Genomic DNA, 18,751 nt, shown 5'->3' with positions numbered 1-18,751 from the left:
AATGGGAGACATAGTGCTATGTGCTGTACTTATTTTTTCCAAGTTCTTGCAACCATCCTGAAATGTGGGTGTCATTGCTCGAATTTAATAAATCAAGAAACCACAGTTTCAAGAACTTAATCGAGTAAGCTGACGTCACAAAGCTAGATTTGGCAATAAATATGATGGAGTTGAAAAACAAAGGGTGATTACAGAAAGAAGAGTCCTGGCCTAGCTTTGAACTGGCCACAGTAGTTAAAGCCACCTACCAGGTACGGTAGACTCTCTGAGGCACTGACTAGCAGAAAAGGGCCAAGACACGAGGTCTGAACAGTGATGCTGTGATCTCTTCAGCTTGGGTGCAAGACTGGGCAGGATCAGCCTGGCCTGGAACATGTCTGTACATTCAGGCTAAGACACCGGAATCTCTGAAGGGTCACTTGCTTCCTTGGTTGCTCATCTGCAAAGAAGGGCAGTCATCGCTGCCTGCTTGTTCAGGTGATGAGGTGCTTGCCTTGTGAATTAACAAGGCTTATAAGTTACTGTGAGCGCCTTTGAGAAAGGTGCCATTCCACCCGAAGCATTGTTGGACTGTTACTCTTTTTGCTTTTGTTATTCAGCCTGTATTATTAAAATATAGTCTGAAATGTCAGCTTAAATTAAAAGATCCTTTCAATGGATCATTTAAAATGCCCATTGTCTTGATTTCTGGAGAAACTTTGTCTGTGCCACAAAATCTCTTAAAGGAAAAAAAAAAGAAAAAACAGAAGTAAATTCAAGTCGACTTGGTGAAATAAAAGAGAATGTCTTTTCATAGGGCCATGCTTAGGGTTGGCCGCTTTTAAGATGTTTCAAGGGATTTTCTTTCTTTCTTTCTTTCTTTTTTCTTCTTCCCAAACTACCTTCTTTGTTTAGGGGTCCCTATTTGCCCTCCTGCCTTTTCTACAGTGTCACTTATTGCTTTGCCAGAGACTAACTGAATGTGAGGACACAAAGGGACAATGAGGCTCATTACCCAAGGCAAGAAGCCACCTGCATGCATTTAGAGAGGCTCCTTCTCATATGTCCTGCAGTTTGTACCAAAGGCATTAACAAGGAGGGCCACCAGCAGCTCCCTTACTCAGGGGGAACGAGGAGGGAGTTAGCCCCTCAGTGCTCCCAAACTGATGAGTCCTCAGGAAGCCCCGGGAAGAGGCAGTTGAATTATTATTACTGTTATTATTAATTCAGGCCTCTTCTACTACAAAGACATTGCAAAGAAATAGCAGAGCAATTGATCTATCCTGATTCACACTAAGTGCATCTGATAATAACATACGTTCTCGATACCAGCCTGACCAACATGTAGTCTCTACTAAAAATACAAAATTAGCCAGGCGTGGTGGTGCATGCCTGTAATTCCAGCTACTCGGGAGGCTGAGGCAGGAGAATCGCTGGAACCCGGGAGGCAGAGGTTGCGGCGAGCCAAGATCATGCCATTGCACTCCAGCCTGGGCAATAAGAGCAAAACTCCATCTCAACATAAATAAATAAATAAATAAATAAATAAATAAATAAATAAATAACATATTTTCAGGGGCATAAAGAGGCCAGTAGTGTCACTTAGGCCAGATGGCCGGGGCAGATGTGTTCAGCAACCTTCCCATCATTGACAAGCTTTACTGCTATTACCTAGAAAGTCAAGACAATGTGAGTAATTCAACATGTGTTGTTCCTGATAGGAAATGCTAGCTAAGGAGACTGCAGGCCTTTTTGTTTTTCACCCAAACAGTTGGCTTTGTTTTGCCCTTTCCCTCCTTATTTTCTCTCATCTCTGCTTCTTGCTGAATTCTACAGAAATGGCAGTTTGGAAATACTAGGCAGAAAACACTGCACAAAGGCCACATACTAAATATTTTCAAAGGCAAAATAAAAAGGAAAGGATAGCATGGGATGTCTCAACATAAGGGAAGACTCATCTGGGCAATGACAAGTTTATCCAAAGTCATATAAATGAGAGTATCAAGAAAGTAAGTGGTGATTGTTGACATGGACTAAATGGATGAACTATTTAGGCAAGGAACTGGGTTGCATCTAACTGGAAAGGCAAAGAGAGAGACAGAGTCTGCATGGTTTGCTCGCTTCAGATTTTGCCAAGCATGAAACACATCTGCGAGGTTGAATCATGAGGTGATTGTGCAATGACTAGGGGCAGGTGGTCTGAGTCCAGTAATGGCATGTGGCTGTCAGCACAAACCCTGCAGAGGAAGATGCATTCTAGCACAGGCCCCCTGGCCCCCATCCAAGGTGCTTAGTTACCAAATTCCCGAAAGGACCTCTAATCAGGCAAGGTCAGCCACAGTGCCACCCCAAAGATTGTGTATCAGCAGGCCTTGTTACAGCTTTCATTGGGAAACTAAGTTGCTTCCCAAATGATTGGTGTCTAGAATGAATCAATGTCCACAGACATTATGGTGTCTGGCTCATAGTAAGCATTGAATACTCATTGACTCAATGAATGGTTGGCCATAACCTCACCATGACCTGCATTGAGATTTAGTTATGCTGATGGTTTTATAAAGTGCATGTATCTTAGAACTAGCACTGTCTTCCTTCATCATTCTATAAGCTATGATATAGCTGCTATACGTTAAGTGTCACAAAACAAAGGAGGAAAGGGAGGGAGGAAGGAAATTTTTTTCAAAGTTATTGAACAAAATACTGTGTTTAATTATTCCGGCTAGGGAAGGGGGAGGGGAGCCTGCCCAGGTGGTCATTCCAGTGAGCTGGGCCACTAGGGCCAGGACTCTTTCTGACTCATATTCGGATCAGGTATAGCCTAGGGGGTAGCTCCAGCCAGAGGCACCAGAAGCCACGTATTAAGACTTAGACATAGACCTAGACAGAAGCCAGAACATAAAGGGGCAGAGAAATGGAGGGAGTCGGGGCACTGGGTGTAGGAGAAGTAAGTCAGGATATGAAGAACCAGAGGAGTTCTGAAGGAAGGCTGAGGAAAGAAGAGTGATGGGCAAAACCAACTCCTCAGGACAGACATGCTGTGAATTTCAAAAATAGTTTAAAAAATAATTGCTCTTTTTCTCCCTAAACCTATTTTCTCCCAACATTATTAATGTTTTCAAGTACACAGAGAAGTTGAACATTTTACAGTGGACATACTCACTGCCTACCTAGATTTCCCAGTGATCATTCCAGCATACCTGCCTTCTCGTGTATCCATTCATCTACCCATTCTTCTCTCCTTCTATCAATCCATTCTAGTTTTTGATATTTTCTTTTCCAGCATTTTTTTATGAAAACACAACCTTATTGTTAATGCTCATGATTTTTGTTATTTATATAAAGGTGAGTGTAACAGGGGTGGCTAACTCTCCAACAATATATATCCTCCCCTTTATAGTAATTTTTTAAAATATGGACATAGAAATTTAGTATAAAGACTACATTGCCCAGCTCATTTGCAGCTAGGTGTAGCCATGTGACTAAGTTCTGGCCAATTAAATGTAAGAAGGAATATCATGAGACAGCTTCCCGGACCCTTGTCTAAGGGGCAGCATGCCAGGGCCTGTGCCCAGTTTGCCTTCTTCTTCCCGTCTTCCTCCATTCTGCTGCCTGGAACACAGATGTGGCCATCTTGGACCATGAGGATGAAGATGGCAGCCTAGGGATGGCATTGTGGAGCCCTGAACTGGAGGAAGCCTAGGGCCCTGAGGGCTCTGTACAACAGGGCCACCACAACAGTCCTGAACTGCTTATCCCTGAACTAAATTTACATGAGAAGACAATAAACATCTTTCTTATTTAAGCTGTTATTTGCAGCATTCTGTCACTTGCTACTACACTTAATTCTAACCAATGCAACAAGACTTAAAAACTCCATCAGTACAAAGAGCTTATAAAGAAAAGCAGTGAACAAATCCTAATGCCTCCTCAGCCCTGCTCCAGAGGCAAACCCTTTTAAGTGGTTATTTCCACATCTCTAAACACTAAAAATAGAAAAATGTTTCTATTTTTAGGCACTGTCTATTGACTTCAGCTCCCTTGAGCCTCTCCACTACTTCTCCTTAATTCTTCCTGCCAATAAAGGTTCATCACCATTGTAGTCTCTCTATTGTTCCTGTTGGTCAATGTAGTTTTATTTACTCCATTATTTCTTTTTCCATCAACTAAAGATGAAATCTCTTGTCTCCCTGCTTTGTAAGATAGGGTCATCAGGCCACATACCTTCAATTCTTTCTACTTCTACTCCTCTGTCGTCTGCCATCTCAGTCTCTATAGTTTTTATGTTTACACTGTCAGCGTTGCTGGGACATACATCCTTTGGCTGACAGTTTCACTACAGAGTGAGTGTAGGGCATCCTGACATGCCAGAATGTGAGAGGCTTTGCTCTGCTGCATCAAATCCCAACTTAGGTGCTCTAATTTGTCTGTAGCCCTATAACCTCCAATCTAGAATTCACACAGAATACTGTAATTGTGTGTTTACATGTGCATCAAATCCAGGCCCTTTATTCTCAGCAACACACATGGAGGTGTAATGACCTACCAAAGTTTTCTGAGTGATAAGACTGAGCCAGAACCCAGGTAACTTACTTCATATTCATTGCTACTGAACATTTCTTGATAATTCAGTGCTTGAGGATCAATATGGCAGGCCACATTCTCCTGTAACACAATAAGCTCTATCACTTCTTAGCAGATTAAAGCTGAGTTTGCATAGGCACACTTGACATGCTGCACTTCCTCCAGGCTGTGCAGGCTCTAACAACCCTGGAAGACCCCCTGTTGACACCATCCATATCTGAGCTGAAGAACTATGGCTTGGCAGAGTTAGATTCAGGCTGAGAGCACAGAGTGCCCACCATGAATATCTGTTTGGTGGATCACAGAGGGAAGCTGTTGAAATCATAAGATACTGCTCCAGACATGCTATTGGTTCAATGCATGTTTTCTCTACAGAGAAACAGATGAGAATGCAGAAACACATGTTCAGATACATTTGGCTGAAAAGAATGGCAGCCCTGTCATGCATATTCTTGGCACAAAAATCCAAAACCATAATAAACACAAGAAGCAGATGTTTATAAGAATCATTTTTAGCTTGGGGCTATCAAATTGAGGATGGAGATGAAAACTATAAAAGTGTTTTTTAAGTGTACTGATATGCCTTCCCTACATTGTTTCATGCCAGTTTAAATCTGTCTGACTTTATATTGCAGTTTTCAACCACCCAAATGGAGGTTTTAGGATGATAAATTTGGAGATTTTGGAAGGTGATTGCACCCATCCTTTTTAACCAAGTCAAGGTCACAACTAAAACACCTCAGAAAGTCCGTAGTCCAATGGTACCTCTTGGTAATACTGTTACATTGAGACAATTGGCAGTAGAGATTAGTGAGAAGAGGTCATATAAAAAAATAGAAACAAGAGTGGAAAATCAATGAAGTGACCCCATAATGAATGAGCAAGGAATTCACATAGCAGAGAAAAATCCCAGACAGAACCAGATTTTCCCAGAAAAGACACTGAGGTGCTGATGTGCCAGTCCCCAAACCGTACTTTCTTCTACAATCCCACATAGTCAGTGTGCCCACCATGCTGCAGCACCCTGCAAAACGTCCCAGTGAACCCCAGGTCCCTGTCTTTGCTGGCCTCTTATCACACTACCCTCTTTACCATCCAGATCACAGGGTCCTCAGTGGTCAGCGGCTTCGTCCCCACCGCCATCAGCTGTGATTTCTGCCTTCACATTTTCCACTCTCCCTTATGTGCCCAACACTGTCTTCCTCTGCTGTGTGGATGACGATATGGCCGTCCCTCCTAATCTATCCCTTTGATTGCCTTGTTGTCCCCCAAACATTCTCTCTTTCTGCCTTTAATAATGAAATCCCCGCATTTTTGCTGGTCACAGGACAACGTAGCATTAAGACTACATTTCCCAGCCTCCTTTGCTAACTGTGGTCATGTCACTCAGTTAAGGTAGGAAGCTGGGTAAGTTCCAGGCCATGTCCTTCAAAAGAGTGGTTGCGCCTTCCCTCACTCTTTTCTCCTTCCTGCCTGCTGGACTGTGAAGGCATTGTTCATGTCAGGGAGCCACCTGGACCAAAGGAATCCCCTAGGAGAAGGTGGAGTAACAGGGTGGAGAGCCTGGCTCCTTGCCGCCATCAAGCCACCGCTGTAGTGCTGGGTCACCTGCTCCATCCTTGAGTAAGATAAATAAACTTGGTTCTCAGCCACCACATTGAGTCTCTTTGCTATTGCAGTCCGTCCTGTATCTGAATGCAGCACTATTCCCATCACTTTTCACCATGCAGGCTACCTGCTCCAAATGCCAAGGCTCTGCTCCCACACCCCTGGCATCCCGCGGAACCACTCCTCCATGACCCTCAACAAAGTCCCAGCTTTCCCTGTGTTCACTTTCCTTTTGTGCACTGCAGCTGGAGATCTCAGTATTAGAGCAGTGGGTAGGACTTGGTCAGGCTGCTGCTTCATTAAAGGAAACCAAAAGGCATTCTGGATCTTGTAGGGGAAGAGTAACTCCCGGTAGGTTCTTAGTTGTAATGAACCCCTGTTACAAAGGACAGATAAACAAGAGAAAAACAAACAGAAGTTGATTAACATGTGTATTTTATAAATACATGGGAGATACCCAGAGAAGTATCCAGAATCATTCTCCAAGAAGTGGCCTTGACTCCCAGCTTATATAAGATCCTCAACAAAGAATAGCACATTTTTAGAGAAGGGACAAAGGAAAAGGACTGTAAGTCTCTGCAGGCAACTTGTGGGAAGGCAAATCCATGGCGGACAAAGGCTGGCTAGACAGCTGGTGAAGTAGAGTCCTCTGTATCACCTCCAGGCTGATGAGAGTCTAAAGCAGTCTTCATTGGTTAACCTTTGCTCTCCTGGGCAGGAATACTCTTTGTCTCTGTAAATCTATGTCCTGCTTTTAGGCAAATAGAGGGAAGTCTAAAGGGTTCCTGCATCTGCTTCTTAATCGTCTTCAGCTGAACAATCCTTCGTATTTGAGGATGGCATATTCTGATCTCCTAAGAGCTCACAGAAGGTATTCAGTAAATGCTTGTCAAATGAATGCATGACCAAGAGAAAGTCCCACCACTAGGTGCACAGGAACTCGTAGGTGGGAATTTTCTCCCTCAAATTCCTTAAAATAATTATCAACATCATTATCTTACATTCATTTAATCAATGTGCAAGATATCATACTGGTAAGCAATTTGTGAATGTTGTCTTTTAATCTCACAAGAATTGTATCAGCTGATTACTATTATTGTTGTTGTTGTTGTTGTTGTTATACCTGTTTTACAGATGAGGAAACTGGGCTCAGAGAAGCTAAGCTAATTGGCCAAGCCAGAACACAAAGCTCTGTCAGTCTGTCTGCAATGCTACCTGCATCCTTAACCCTTGTGGTAACTGTGATGGTTTAAGGCAAAAACAAGTAAGTAAAGAGCGCAGCGTAGCCCTTACTATTCATGCTTGCTGCACTGAGAAGCCTTCCAAAAGCCTGAGCCCTTAAAAGAATATGTGGGGCCCGTAGGGCTGATCATGCAGGGACCACCTTTTGCCAACCGAGAATGAATAACCCAGATATCCAGCTTTCTTGATATCTGCAAGTCTAGAAGCACTTTATACTGCTTTCAAATTATTTGTTAAAGCACAATAATTCACATTGTGTAGCATTTTACGGTGACTAAATGTTCTGACGAACATCAGCCTAATCACAGAACTGTCTTGTAAGGTAGTTGGGCTGTCGTATTATTCTTCCTGTTCTCCAGAGGAGGACACTGAGGCCCACAAAGCTTGTGACTCTGCTGGGCAGAGGCCGAACAGGGCCCGCCCTTCCTTCACACTACGCTTGTCTTGGTTAGCATGTTACCTTTCCTTTGTCCCTCACCCACCCTCTTCCGCAAAGCAAGCTATGGGGAAATTATGATAGATTAGCCTTTACAGAGGGAAAACCAAATAATGCTAGGTTCCAAAATATTATTTTGAAAAGTTTTTTAAAGGCATCCAGTCCTGTTAGCTAAGAAAGCTGTAAAAAAAATAAACCACAAGAGTTTAGTGGTTTGAATTCAGCTGAGGCTGGGAAAAATGCCATCGATGGCTTTTACTTCGGTGGCCAAGCTGCCTACATTTTTCTAGCAACTTCGGGAGTTGGCCAATATTCACATCTGAAAAACCATCTTGGGCCCTGAGAAACCTCCTGCTTGCCCAGCTCCACAGACAGAAAGACTGTGATGGGGCCCAAAACAGGATTGGCTGAGATCAAGGTCGCGGAAGCTGGCAGAGCAGGTGGGCTGCACGTTGTGACGCCAGCGGGGACCCACACCGGGCACCCACAGGATGAGGGTTTCAGCGGGTGCCAGTCCCACGCCCAACACCCTGTCCTTTATTCCTCTCTCTTCAAACCGGCTGGATCTCGAGCCCACTCACCTGAACGCTGAACTTTTTAGTTGAAAATTTACCAGATACGAACAGGGAGTTTTTGTACTGGGTGTTTATTTCCTGGACCATGGGTACTGCCGGTCGGGGATGGGAAGAGGATGACAAAGCAGCAAACAAAAAGATTTTACAGCCGCCCACCTGCCGAGGACTCCAGCGAAAGCTTGAGTTGCTGAGGATTACTGAGAGGCCGGGGGCTGCCATCGGAGCTAGCAGCCGGAGGGCAGAGAGAGTGGAGTGCTCAGTGCAGCGGGCGGAGGCTGGGAAGAGCTGTCCCGGGCTGTTTTCAGGAGCAGCTGCTCAGCTTCAGCGGCCTCTTCCCTGGGCTGACAGGGCCACAGGCATCGAAAACCCGGCCTAGCCCAACCTCTGCCGGCCAAACAGCCCTCATAAAACCACAGACTCCTTTTAAAAAGCAATAAAAGGAGCCATGCCCAGAACACCAGATCAGGGCAGGACATGGGGTGAAGATGTCTGAGGCAGAGAACTGGGGGAAACAGTTCCAGGAACCTGCGTCTGTGTGCGTGGTGGTGGTGGCGGGGGGCATGGTGTGTGTGTGTGTGTGTGTGTGTGTGTGTGTGTAGAGAGAGAGAGAGAGTTCTTCTTGTAGGGGGAAACCAAGTGAGATGATAGACTCTGGTGAATGGCAGACAATAATTCCACTGTCTCCTGCCCCTCCTGTGGCCTAGTGTCCAGCCCAGGTACACGGGCCCTGCAAAGCGCCCCCTCCTCCCAGCCCCTCCCCTCCTGCCTTCCTGGCCCTGAATGCCCGGGACCACTCAGGCCTTCATCCATACTTGCAAACGGCAGCAGCCACCTCTTGTTTCCCGGCACTGTCGGAGAAGGCTGGGACACTCTGGACAGTCTTTTGGGCACCTTCCAAAACTATGTGTGCAAAAAGAAACAGGGCTTTTAAAAGAGACCTTTAAGAATGAGGGCTCCCTCACCTTCCCTGAATAGGAACAGACTAAGAAATCTCTTCTGCAGCTTCTTTGGGTTTCTCTTTGGAGAGATGTGTTTCCCCTGGCTGTCTGTCGGCAGGAGGGAGGTTTGGAAAGCCTGCAGGATAAGCAACAGTGGGAACACTGCGCATTCACCCGCAGGAGGCCACCCACGGAGACTGCGGGGAACACACACACACTCACACACACAAATACGCGCAAACACAAAGAAACCTCCATTCAGCCCATCTCTCAACATGAAGCAAACGCATGGCAAACATTGCAAAATCTCGGTTTTGCTGGGGAGGCCGCCGGGCCTTTAGATGGGTATTAACGCAATTGGTAGACATTAACCCGTTGTGTGCCGCCTGCTGGTTTATTCTCCAGCTGAGAATGAAGGGAGAAGCTGGGTTTTAAGAAAGTCTCAGAAGCAAACGATGTCATGGCGAACACTGTATACAATTCAGGGAGAGAAGCAGCACACCAAACTGAGTATTTGAATAATACTAAAATAAAGTTAATATCACATTTTTAATGATTCCAATTGCAACACTGATTATTCAATATTAATCCCAACTTTAATAGAAGTATAAGATGCTACCAAGAAAGACACTAAATTGCAGTTGTGGAATTATTAGCTCGGGGCTTCTCAAACTTGAACAGGCACACAACCCTCTGGGGGTCTGGGAAAAACACAGATTCGGATTCCGAGGTCTGCAGCGGGGGCACTCCTAACAAGCGCCCAGGTGGTGATGACGCTGAGACTAGCAAGGTGTGGGTAAATTTTTTTCTTCTTTATAGTATAGCTTTTGGTATCTTACAATCTTCTGTAATGACCATGTTACTACTTAGGCAATCATGAAAATATTTTCCTTTTGAAGATAAGGTATTTGTAGATTAAGTTCCATGCCTCATCTGACCAGTGCCTGGAGCGCTAGGGTATGAGGCTTATCAACAGGAAGGGCAATTCAGAGCTTTGATTCTCAGCCTAGAGTGGGGGTCTCCAGGGAATCCCCGGGAAGCTTTACAAAGCATTTGCCCCCTGGGGACTTGTCAGAATCTGGGGGAGAGGAGGGCTGTGTAATTGGAGAGCTCCCTGGACCACACACCACGCCAGTTGCCCAGGCCTGAGCGCCACTACTGCAGACTTCCCACTTTGCTGTCCTGTGTCGCATACCTCAGTCTGTTCGGATCCAGGCCTGCTCTGTAGCTGTCACTGGAGTGGCTGAGTGCAGGGTAAGAAATATACGATTTGGTGTTTCAGTCAGGAAGATCCAATGTTTCATGTTTATCTGGAGTAAAAAGGGCTATTTGCTGCTCAGACTTAATGTTTGTGCTAAAGAAACTATCGCACAACTCACCTGCAGATCAGTGATTGAGAAGCAAAAAGAATGGTGAGGACCCTGTTGCTATCTTTAAGACACTGTGCATATGGGGACAGGTGAGCAGACTGTCCTCTCCGCTGTGGCTCTTAAGGTTTACAAAGTAGCTCAGTGGTACCAAGGGTCTGACAGTTATAACACCAGACAAACTGGCAGCTTGGTGAGTCCTTCTGCCAATGGGACAATGATCAGGAGCGTGGCTGTGTAAAATGTTCCTCTTCTGTAGCCCTGTGCCATTCGGAATGCCGTCAGAGATAATGCAATGTTAACTTAATCATCAGTGACACGTGCACCGACATCTTTTTGTTGCCTTGCATTGAGGACAAGGAAAACGAGATGGGCTGGTTTGTAAGCTATATCCTCTGTGTATTATTGGATTAGAACTCTTCCCATTCCAACTGGCATAAGCAAGAAAATGGAAACTATTGTCTTATGTAACTGAAAATCCTACCTTCAGGCACAGCTGGATCTAGGCACTCAGATGATGTCATCAGAACTTTGCCTCAATCTTTCCACCTCTTCATTCAGCTTTCCTTCATGCAGGCTCTTTTATCAGGCAGCCTCATGATCCAGAGACAGATGCTGGAGGTTCAGGTTTATTCTCTCTCCTTGCAGAAACTGCAATAAAAGAAGAAAGCTTTTCTCACAACAATTCAAAGGAACATCCCTAAATGGAGTCTTACCAGCTGGACTTGGATCACCTACAGGAATCTGGACCAACTGCTGTGACCTGGGGAATCCATGTGTCCAGTCCTAGCTCAGGTGCCCACCCCTGAACCAACAAGCAAGGTTATGGAGAATCCATCCTCTGACTGGCCAGGCCTGGGTCAGGTGTCCACCATGAACCAATCACTGAGGCTATGAAGAGTCCATGCTATGATAGGCCAAACTGGAGTCAGGTGTCCACCAAAAACCAGTCACTGAGGCCATGAAGAGTCCATGCTATGATTGGCCAGGCTGAAGTCAGGTGTCTACCGGAGTGGACCGATGAACCACTCACTGAGGCCAAGAAGAGTCCTACAGGATTGACCAGGCTGGAGTCAAGTGTCCACCATGAACCAATCACTGAGGCCATGAAGAGTCCAAGCTATGATTGGCCAGGCTGGAGTCAGGTGCCTAGCCCTGGCCCAAATGTTGTTAGAGGTTCAGGAGCACAGAAGTAAAGGCTCTTCTAGAAAAATATACATTCTATTACTAACAGAAGAGTAGTAAAGTCTAGGCAGGAAAAAGAATAAGTGTCCAATTCAGTATATAATTATCAACAGACTAATATTCACAAATGGTCTGTTTTGAACTTCATAATTAAGGTTGATTAGCATTGCCAATGCTTCCCAGCCTTCCTGGGTCACATAGAAAGGTATAATGTGTGTAGGCAGCCTAGGAAAATGGGAGGGGATTTGGGATTCTTTTTTTTTTGAGACAGAGTTTTGCTCTTGTCACCCAGGCTGGAGTGCAGCAGCTCGATCTCAGCTCTGCAACCTCCGCCTGCCAGGTTCAAGCGATTCTCCTGCCTCAGCTTCCAGAGTAGCTGGGATTACAGGTGCCCGCCAACATGTCCAGCTAATTTTTTTTCTTTTTTGTATTTTCAGTAGAGACGGGGTTTCACCATGTTGGCCAGGCTGGTCTCGAACTCCTGACCCCAGGTCATCCACCCGCCTCTACCTCCCAAAGTGCTGGGATTACAGGCGTGAGCCACCACACCCAGCCAGGGATTTGGGATTCTAATAGAGGCTGTCTTAGTCCGATGGACTAACGGAATGCCATAGACTGGGTGGCTTATAAACAACAAATTTATTTTCCAAAGTTCTGGAGTCTGGGAGGTCCAAGATCAGGATGCCACGATGCCGCGTCTGGTGAGGCCCCACTTCCTGGTTTATAGACCTCAGTCTCATTGAAACCTCACACGATGGAAGGGGCAAGGGAGGTCTGTGGGGATTGTATAGGGGTACTAATCCCATTTGTGAGGGCTCTGCCCTCATGATCTAATCACCTCCCAAAGGCCTCTCTTTCTAATACCATCACATTGGGGGTTAGGATTTCAACACATGAATTTTGGGGGGACACAAACATTCCATCTATAGCAGGCTTCTCTGAGATTAATTGGTCAGGGGCTCCAGACTTTCCAAGGGCTGAGGGAGCAATAACTTGTACTGGGTCAACTCTTGGAAAGCTCTGTGTTAGGGCATAATACTGGTGCTTAAGATCCAGTGTGGACATTTAATAATTTTTTTTTTTTTTTGAGATGGAGTCTCACTCTGTCACCCAGAGGCTGGAGTGCAGTGGCACGATCACTGCTGACTGCAACCACAACCTCCCAGGTTCAGCGATTCTCCTGCCTCAGCCTCTCGAGTAGCTGGGATTACAGGTGCACACCACTGTGCCCAGCTAATTTTTCTATTTTTAGTAGAGATGGTGTTTCACCATGTTGGCCAGGCTGGTCTTGAACTCCTGACCTCAGGTGATTTGCCCGCCTCAGCTTCCCAAAGTGCTGGGATTATAGGTGTGAGCCACCACGCCCAGCCTAATAAAAAAATTGTAATGCAGCGCAGTTCAAAGTTTATTGTGACTTGTATCCTAATACCTTCCCGTCCTTACCACACCCTACCTTGCCTCCCCAAAACAATTGTTTATTAAGCAATTATTTATTGAGCACATGCTGTGCTCCAAAAACTATTTTAGGTGCTTGGAATACATCAGTGAATCAGACAGACAAGGATTATTGCTTGGCAGAATTTCTTTTGAGTATATGTGGGTGGGTTGAGACAGACAATGTGCAATGAACATAATAAATCAGTAAATAACAAAGCTCATTAGATGGTGGAAATGTTAGAGGAAAAAATAGAGCAAGGCAGGGAGGCTACCTGAAGAAGAATTCAAGAGGCCAGGCACAGTGGCTCACACCTGTAATCCCAGCACTTTGGGAGGCCGAGGCAGGTGGATCACTTGAGGTAAGGAGCTCTAGACCAGCCTGGACAACATGGTGAAACTCTGTCTCTACTGAAAAAAAAAAAAAAAACAAAATTAGCTGGGCATGGTGGCAGGTGCCGGTAATCCCAGCTACTCAGGAGGCTGAGGCACGAGAATCACTTGAACCCGGGAAGCAGAGGTGGCAGTGAGCCAAGTTCACACCATTGCACTCTAGCCTAGTCAAAAAGAGCAAAACTCCTTCTCAAAAAAAAAAAAGAATTCAAGAAATGCTTCTGCTTTCATAGTTTCAGAGGTACTCCTAGTCTACAAATGTTAGGCGATTTAAGAACGGCTTATCTCATTTTACAAAGGGTTTCAGTGCCCACCTTTGGGCATTAGGGCATACCTGGAAGCTCCGAGCCTGGGCCTACAGTGGCAAGAAAGGGTAAGGCTTTTGTGCAGGAGAACAGCTCATTACGTGGTAATGCCAGCAGGTATGTAGAGTTCTAGACCTGGAAGGGACTGGGGTCCACCCTCTTGTGTTGCAAATGAGGGCTCACACTGCCACGGCAGTAGCTGGCCTCTGACTCAGGGCTTGGGGTGAGAGGATGCAAGTCTCAGCTGGGGTTTGTACTGTTATCTATCACTGCATAGTAAATTACTTCAAAATTTAGTAGCTTAAAAGAATGCCATGTTTTGGACTCATAGTTCCTGGGGGTCAGGAATCTGGGTATGCTTGGAGGACCCCCTCCCTCAGGGTCACTCATAGGCTGCAATCATGGTGTGGGATCCCAGTGTCCCGTCCCGCATGGCTGTCATAGAGACTCAGCTGGGGCAGGATCCACTTCCAGGCTTGCTCCGTGGTTGGCCTCCAGTGGTGGCAGGACCCAGTTCCCTGCCAGCTGTTGGCCAGAAAACACTCTCAGTCCCCTGCCATGTGGACCTCTCCAGTGTGGCAGCTTGCTTCATCAAAGCCCACAAGAGAGAAAGAGTATGTGCTAGCAAGGTGGAAGTCACAGTCATTTGTAATTTAATCACAGAAGCAAGTCACTAGGTCCAGCCCATACCAGGTCAAGGATGACATCAGGGTGCATCTACCAGAAGGTGGGAATTGTGGACCATCTTCAAAGTCAGCCTACCACAATTTCCATAGCTCCTCTCGCTCCATTTTCTAAGGGACGGCACATCCTGCCCTCACCACCTTTCCTTTTGTTCTGAATGCTAGGGCACTCTTTCCTTCTCACCCTGTCCTCAGCCCTCCCAGGTTTCTCTGAGGAGGCATCCGTCACCCACCCTCTTGCAGAAATTGACTGCATCTCGGCTAGGACCACATGATCAATCCACGATCACTTACTCAGATGGTTTTAATTCTACTTCAACCTTCTAGGCCCAGCCAGACTCAACACCGACCACAGCCTCTGAGACATTTGGGGAGAGGGAGTTTTCACCACAGGGAATTTGGAATAGGCAGCAGTTATCAGATTGAGAGGGGAGCCCTGGCAGGGAGGGTCAGTGGAAACAGTCACTGGCAGCTGCTACTGAGGCATTTGCTGAAAGGGAATGGTTCCTTTTTTTTTCTTTTTTTGAGACAGGCAATCTCAGCTTACTGCAACCTCTGCCTCCCGGGTTCAAGCGATTCTCCTGCCTCAGCCTCCTGAGTAGCTGGGACTATAGGCACACACCACCACACCTGGCTAATTTCTATATTTTTAGTAGAGACAGGCTTTCACCATGTTGGCCAGGCTGGTCTCGAACTCCTGGCCTCATGTCATCGCCCGCCTCAGCCTCCCAAAGTGCTGGGATTACTGGTCTGAGCCACCGCGCCTGGCTGAGGGAATGTTTTCTAGGTTTCTAACAAGCTGTCAGATAAAGTGATGATGGTGGAAAATTCTAAATTAAAGAAAATTCTAACAGCCTCACTCCAGTCGTGTCTCTGCAGGTCAGATTGCATGACAAAGAAAAGATACAACTGAGCTTTCCTTCTGAGATCCAAGCAAGGCAATTCCACAATTCCACAATTAATGGGACACAGTTTGGGGGGATGGCTGTGGTCTGTGTCATATTCCATTCATAAGGGGATATTTAGAACAATTGCACAGTATGTCTGCTGTGTGCAAACCAACAGCACTCTAAATACATCCAAGTGCAAAGTAACCTGGGCTAACACAGGCTTCCTTGGCCCCTCCTCCTTAGCCCATTGTGCATGTTTTATTATATATTTTCTTCACAACTCCCCTTCTCATTTTGACATCCACCCATAGTGGCCATTTGAAACTGTCTGCTAAACGTTTGAGTTGTTTATTTCCCTCCCTCCCTCCCTCCCTTCCTCCCTTCCTTACTCCTCGTCCTTTCTCTTTCTTTCTCAGTCTATGATGCCACCCCTCTTGTAACCTTGAATGCCCTTTGTAAACTCTACTGCCTTTTCCAAAGCAGTTTCAAAACTCATCAGAAGGAGACAGGTAGTGGCTACGCTACGAACGCATCCACCGCAGCCCTGCGTGCTTCTCTCCGGACTAAATCCTCTGAAGGCTGGGTGTGCTGAGCACTGTCCGCCTTCACGGTGAGATGTGTGCGTGTCTGGACTTGTCAGGCCGGAGACACTGAAATGTCCTACCTGTATTCCTCTTGGGGGATCCTTGTTTCTGGAAAATGATTTCTCCTCACATCCTTACAGCTACTTTTTAGACAGAGCTTTCATTTCTGCATGGAGTCTCCAGGGTGTTGACGGTGCCTCCTTTGCCTCATCCTTTTAAAGCATTTTTACTGTTTTTCTTCGGCGGGGGGGGGGTTGAGGGGGCGGGTGGGTTCTGTAACTATACGGCTGTGTACACATATTTCTATCCTGGAGAACAGCCATTGTATGAGTTTGCCAGGGCTGCCATAACAAAGTCCCACAGACTGAATGGCTGAGACAGCAGAGATGTATTTTCTTACAATTCTAGAGGACAGGAATCTGAGATGACAGTGTGGGAGGGGCTGTTTGCTCTTGAGGCCTCTCTCCACGGCTTATAGATGGCCGTCCTTTCCTCCCTGTGTCTTCATAGAGTCTTCTCTGTGTGCAAACGTGTGTGTGTCCTCATTTCTTTTTATAAGGACACTAGTCATAGTGGATTAGGAGGGTCCACCCTAATTACCTCACTTCCACTTAATTATCTTGTAAAGACCCTATCTCCAAATCTAGTCATATTCTGAGGTACTGGGGGTTAGGATTTCAACACGTGAGCTTTGCAGGGGACATAATTCAGCCCACAGCAGTCATAAAACAGAAATAAGCAAAATAATAATAAAAAGCCATCTATAATCTCACACTTTTTGATCTTCCAGTGGCTCCCGATGACACTCAAGGGTCAATGCCAGCTCCTTGACCTCAGCCACATCTCCCCACTCTCCCCGCCCCTCCCCCTCTGTCACCTTCTCCTGCATGCTCTCCATGCACAGGCCAATTCTCATCCTGCTGGGGCCTTTGCCCCTGCTGTTCCCAGACAGCTGCATGGCCATGGACACAGCCCAAACCTGGAAGAGCAAAGAGGCCTCCCACAAGCCCTCTCCCCAGGCATTTGAGAGCAGGGTGTCTCCACCTGGCACTCAGTCCATTTGGGGCTGGAGAATTCTCTGTTATGGGGCTGTCCTTTGCATTGTAGGATGTTTAGCAGCATCTCTGGCCTCTGCCCACTAGAAAGCGGCAGGACTTCTGCAGGTGCGACCACCTAAAGTACCCCCCGGTATTGCCCGAGGCCTCAAAAGAGATGGGCTAGGATAGAGCTGAAGAGCGGGGTGAGGCTCTCATCTCAGTGCCTCAACTCCCTCATTTATAAAATGAGGATAAAATTATTCATAATATGTTAGTTCATGCAATGTGAGCTAGTTTAGTTTAATAGGAGGTAGACTGTGGTGAGGCTTCAATGGGAGAAGATGTATTGAGCAAGTAGAGGAAGGCCAGACCCAGAGCAGGTGTCCAGAGAGCTGGAGCCTTCTTATTCTCTCAGGACCCTGATATTTTATTTATTTTTATTTTTATTAATTTTTTTGTGTGAAATGTAGTCTTGCTTTGTCACCCAGGCTGAGTGCAGTGGTGCGATCTCGGCTCACTGCAACCTCTGCCTCCTGCATTAAAGCAATTCTCCTGCTTCAGCCTCCCAAGTAATTGGGATTACAGGCACATGCCATCACACCCGGCTAATTTTTGTATTTTTAGTAGAGATGGGGTTTCGCCGTGTTGGCCAGGCTGGTCTCGAACTCCTGACCTCAGGTGATCCACCTACTTTAGCCTCCCAAGGTGCTGGGATTAAAGGCATGGGCCACCGCACGCAGCCAACCCTGATATTTTCCTGTACATGCTTATTCATTTACAAATGCCACAAAGCAGGTGCCTGGGAGACTTCATGGCACATAGTAGGTGCTTTATATCCATATGCTGAATGAAGAAATGGAAGTCTGGCCCAACTATGGTAGAAGGCACTGTCTGTTGTGTTCCGGGACACAGCTCCAGTGCAGATGGCACACAGCACCTGGCACATAGTAGGTGTTCAATAAATGTGTTGATTGATGGCATATGACAAATGAAGGAGATTTGTTATAAACTCTGGCCCCTATAGCTTCATATTTCCATTACCTGCCTTTTGTTACTGATGTCTCTTCCCATCATTTTTCTTCTCTCCTATGAAGTTTTGAGGAACTTAGAAAACAGACTTGGCCTTTTTCCTCCTGTGATGGGACTCCCAGGTGCAAGTGACATTTAAGGTCCCTGATCAGCTAGTGAGTCCAAGTCCTTGTTTGACTTGTCTGATGTCCCCTTCCCCAAACCCTTCCCGGCACACAGGACTACTCCTATCCCATCTCTGTCCGTGCCCAGGCGTGGTCACCATCTTACCTGCTTCATCAAAATGAGCATGGCCTCCCCCCTTTCCATGGCTCACAGGTGAGTCTATGGCCACCCTACCTTCCGGGAGGTACACTCTTTATTCGGGACCCAGATGTCACAACTGTTACCACACAAGACATACCAAATACTTGTTTTGCAAGCATCTCAACCATCAACCACACAGTGAAGGAAGGTTCCAATGAACGCTTCACAACATCCACAAG

General features: G+C 46.2%; 1 long non-coding RNA gene across 1 annotated transcript, besides 4 other annotated features; it reads right to left on the bottom strand.

The window, feature by feature from the left end:
- Nucleotides 1–5,037: 5,037 nt before the first annotated feature.
- On the bottom strand, nt 5,038–16,388 carry LOC105376161 (uncharacterized). The gene is made up of 3 exons (XR_930145.4): nt 16,281–16,388; nt 11,211–11,377; nt 5,038–6,544 (listed from the first exon to the last, which is right to left on the bottom strand). It is a non-coding gene; the product is annotated as an uncharacterized LOC105376161 (long non-coding RNA).
- Nucleotides 7,769–8,726: an enhancer, noted in NCBI's record as "H3K4me1 hESC enhancer chr9:98534876-98535833 (GRCh37/hg19 assembly coordinates)". NCBI's record gives its function as "activates a minimal SCP1, AML or CMV promoter by ChIP-STARR-seq in naive H9 embryonic stem cells {active_cell/tissue: H9 hESC(naive)}" and the evidence as "EXISTENCE:reporter gene assay evidence [ECO:0000049][PMID:30033119]".
- Nucleotides 7,769–8,817: a biological region, named in NCBI's record as "H3K4me1 hESC enhancer GRCh37_chr9:98534876-98535833".
- Nucleotides 8,648–8,817: an enhancer, noted in NCBI's record as "experimental_110740 CRE fragment used in MPRA reporter constructs". NCBI's record gives its function as "activates a minimal promoter by MPRAs in K562 erythroleukemia cells, with activity observed for the non-introgressed 9:98534870 variant allele {active_cell/tissue: K562}" and the evidence as "EXISTENCE:reporter gene assay evidence [ECO:0000049][PMID:34662402]".
- Nucleotides 18,655–18,704: a silencer, noted in NCBI's record as "silent region_20074". NCBI's record gives its function as "represses an Ori minimal core promoter by ATAC-STARR-seq in GM12878 lymphoblastoid cells {active_cell/tissue: GM12878}" and the evidence as "EXISTENCE:reporter gene assay evidence [ECO:0000049][PMID:35858748]".

The sequence above is a fragment of the Homo sapiens genome, chromosome 9 (genome assembly GCF_000001405.40).
Source record: "Homo sapiens chromosome 9, GRCh38.p14 Primary Assembly".
In the NCBI taxonomy this organism is placed as follows: domain Eukaryota; kingdom Metazoa; phylum Chordata; class Mammalia; order Primates; family Hominidae; genus Homo; species Homo sapiens.
This window is presented reverse-complemented; position numbering and strand designations above follow the sequence as displayed.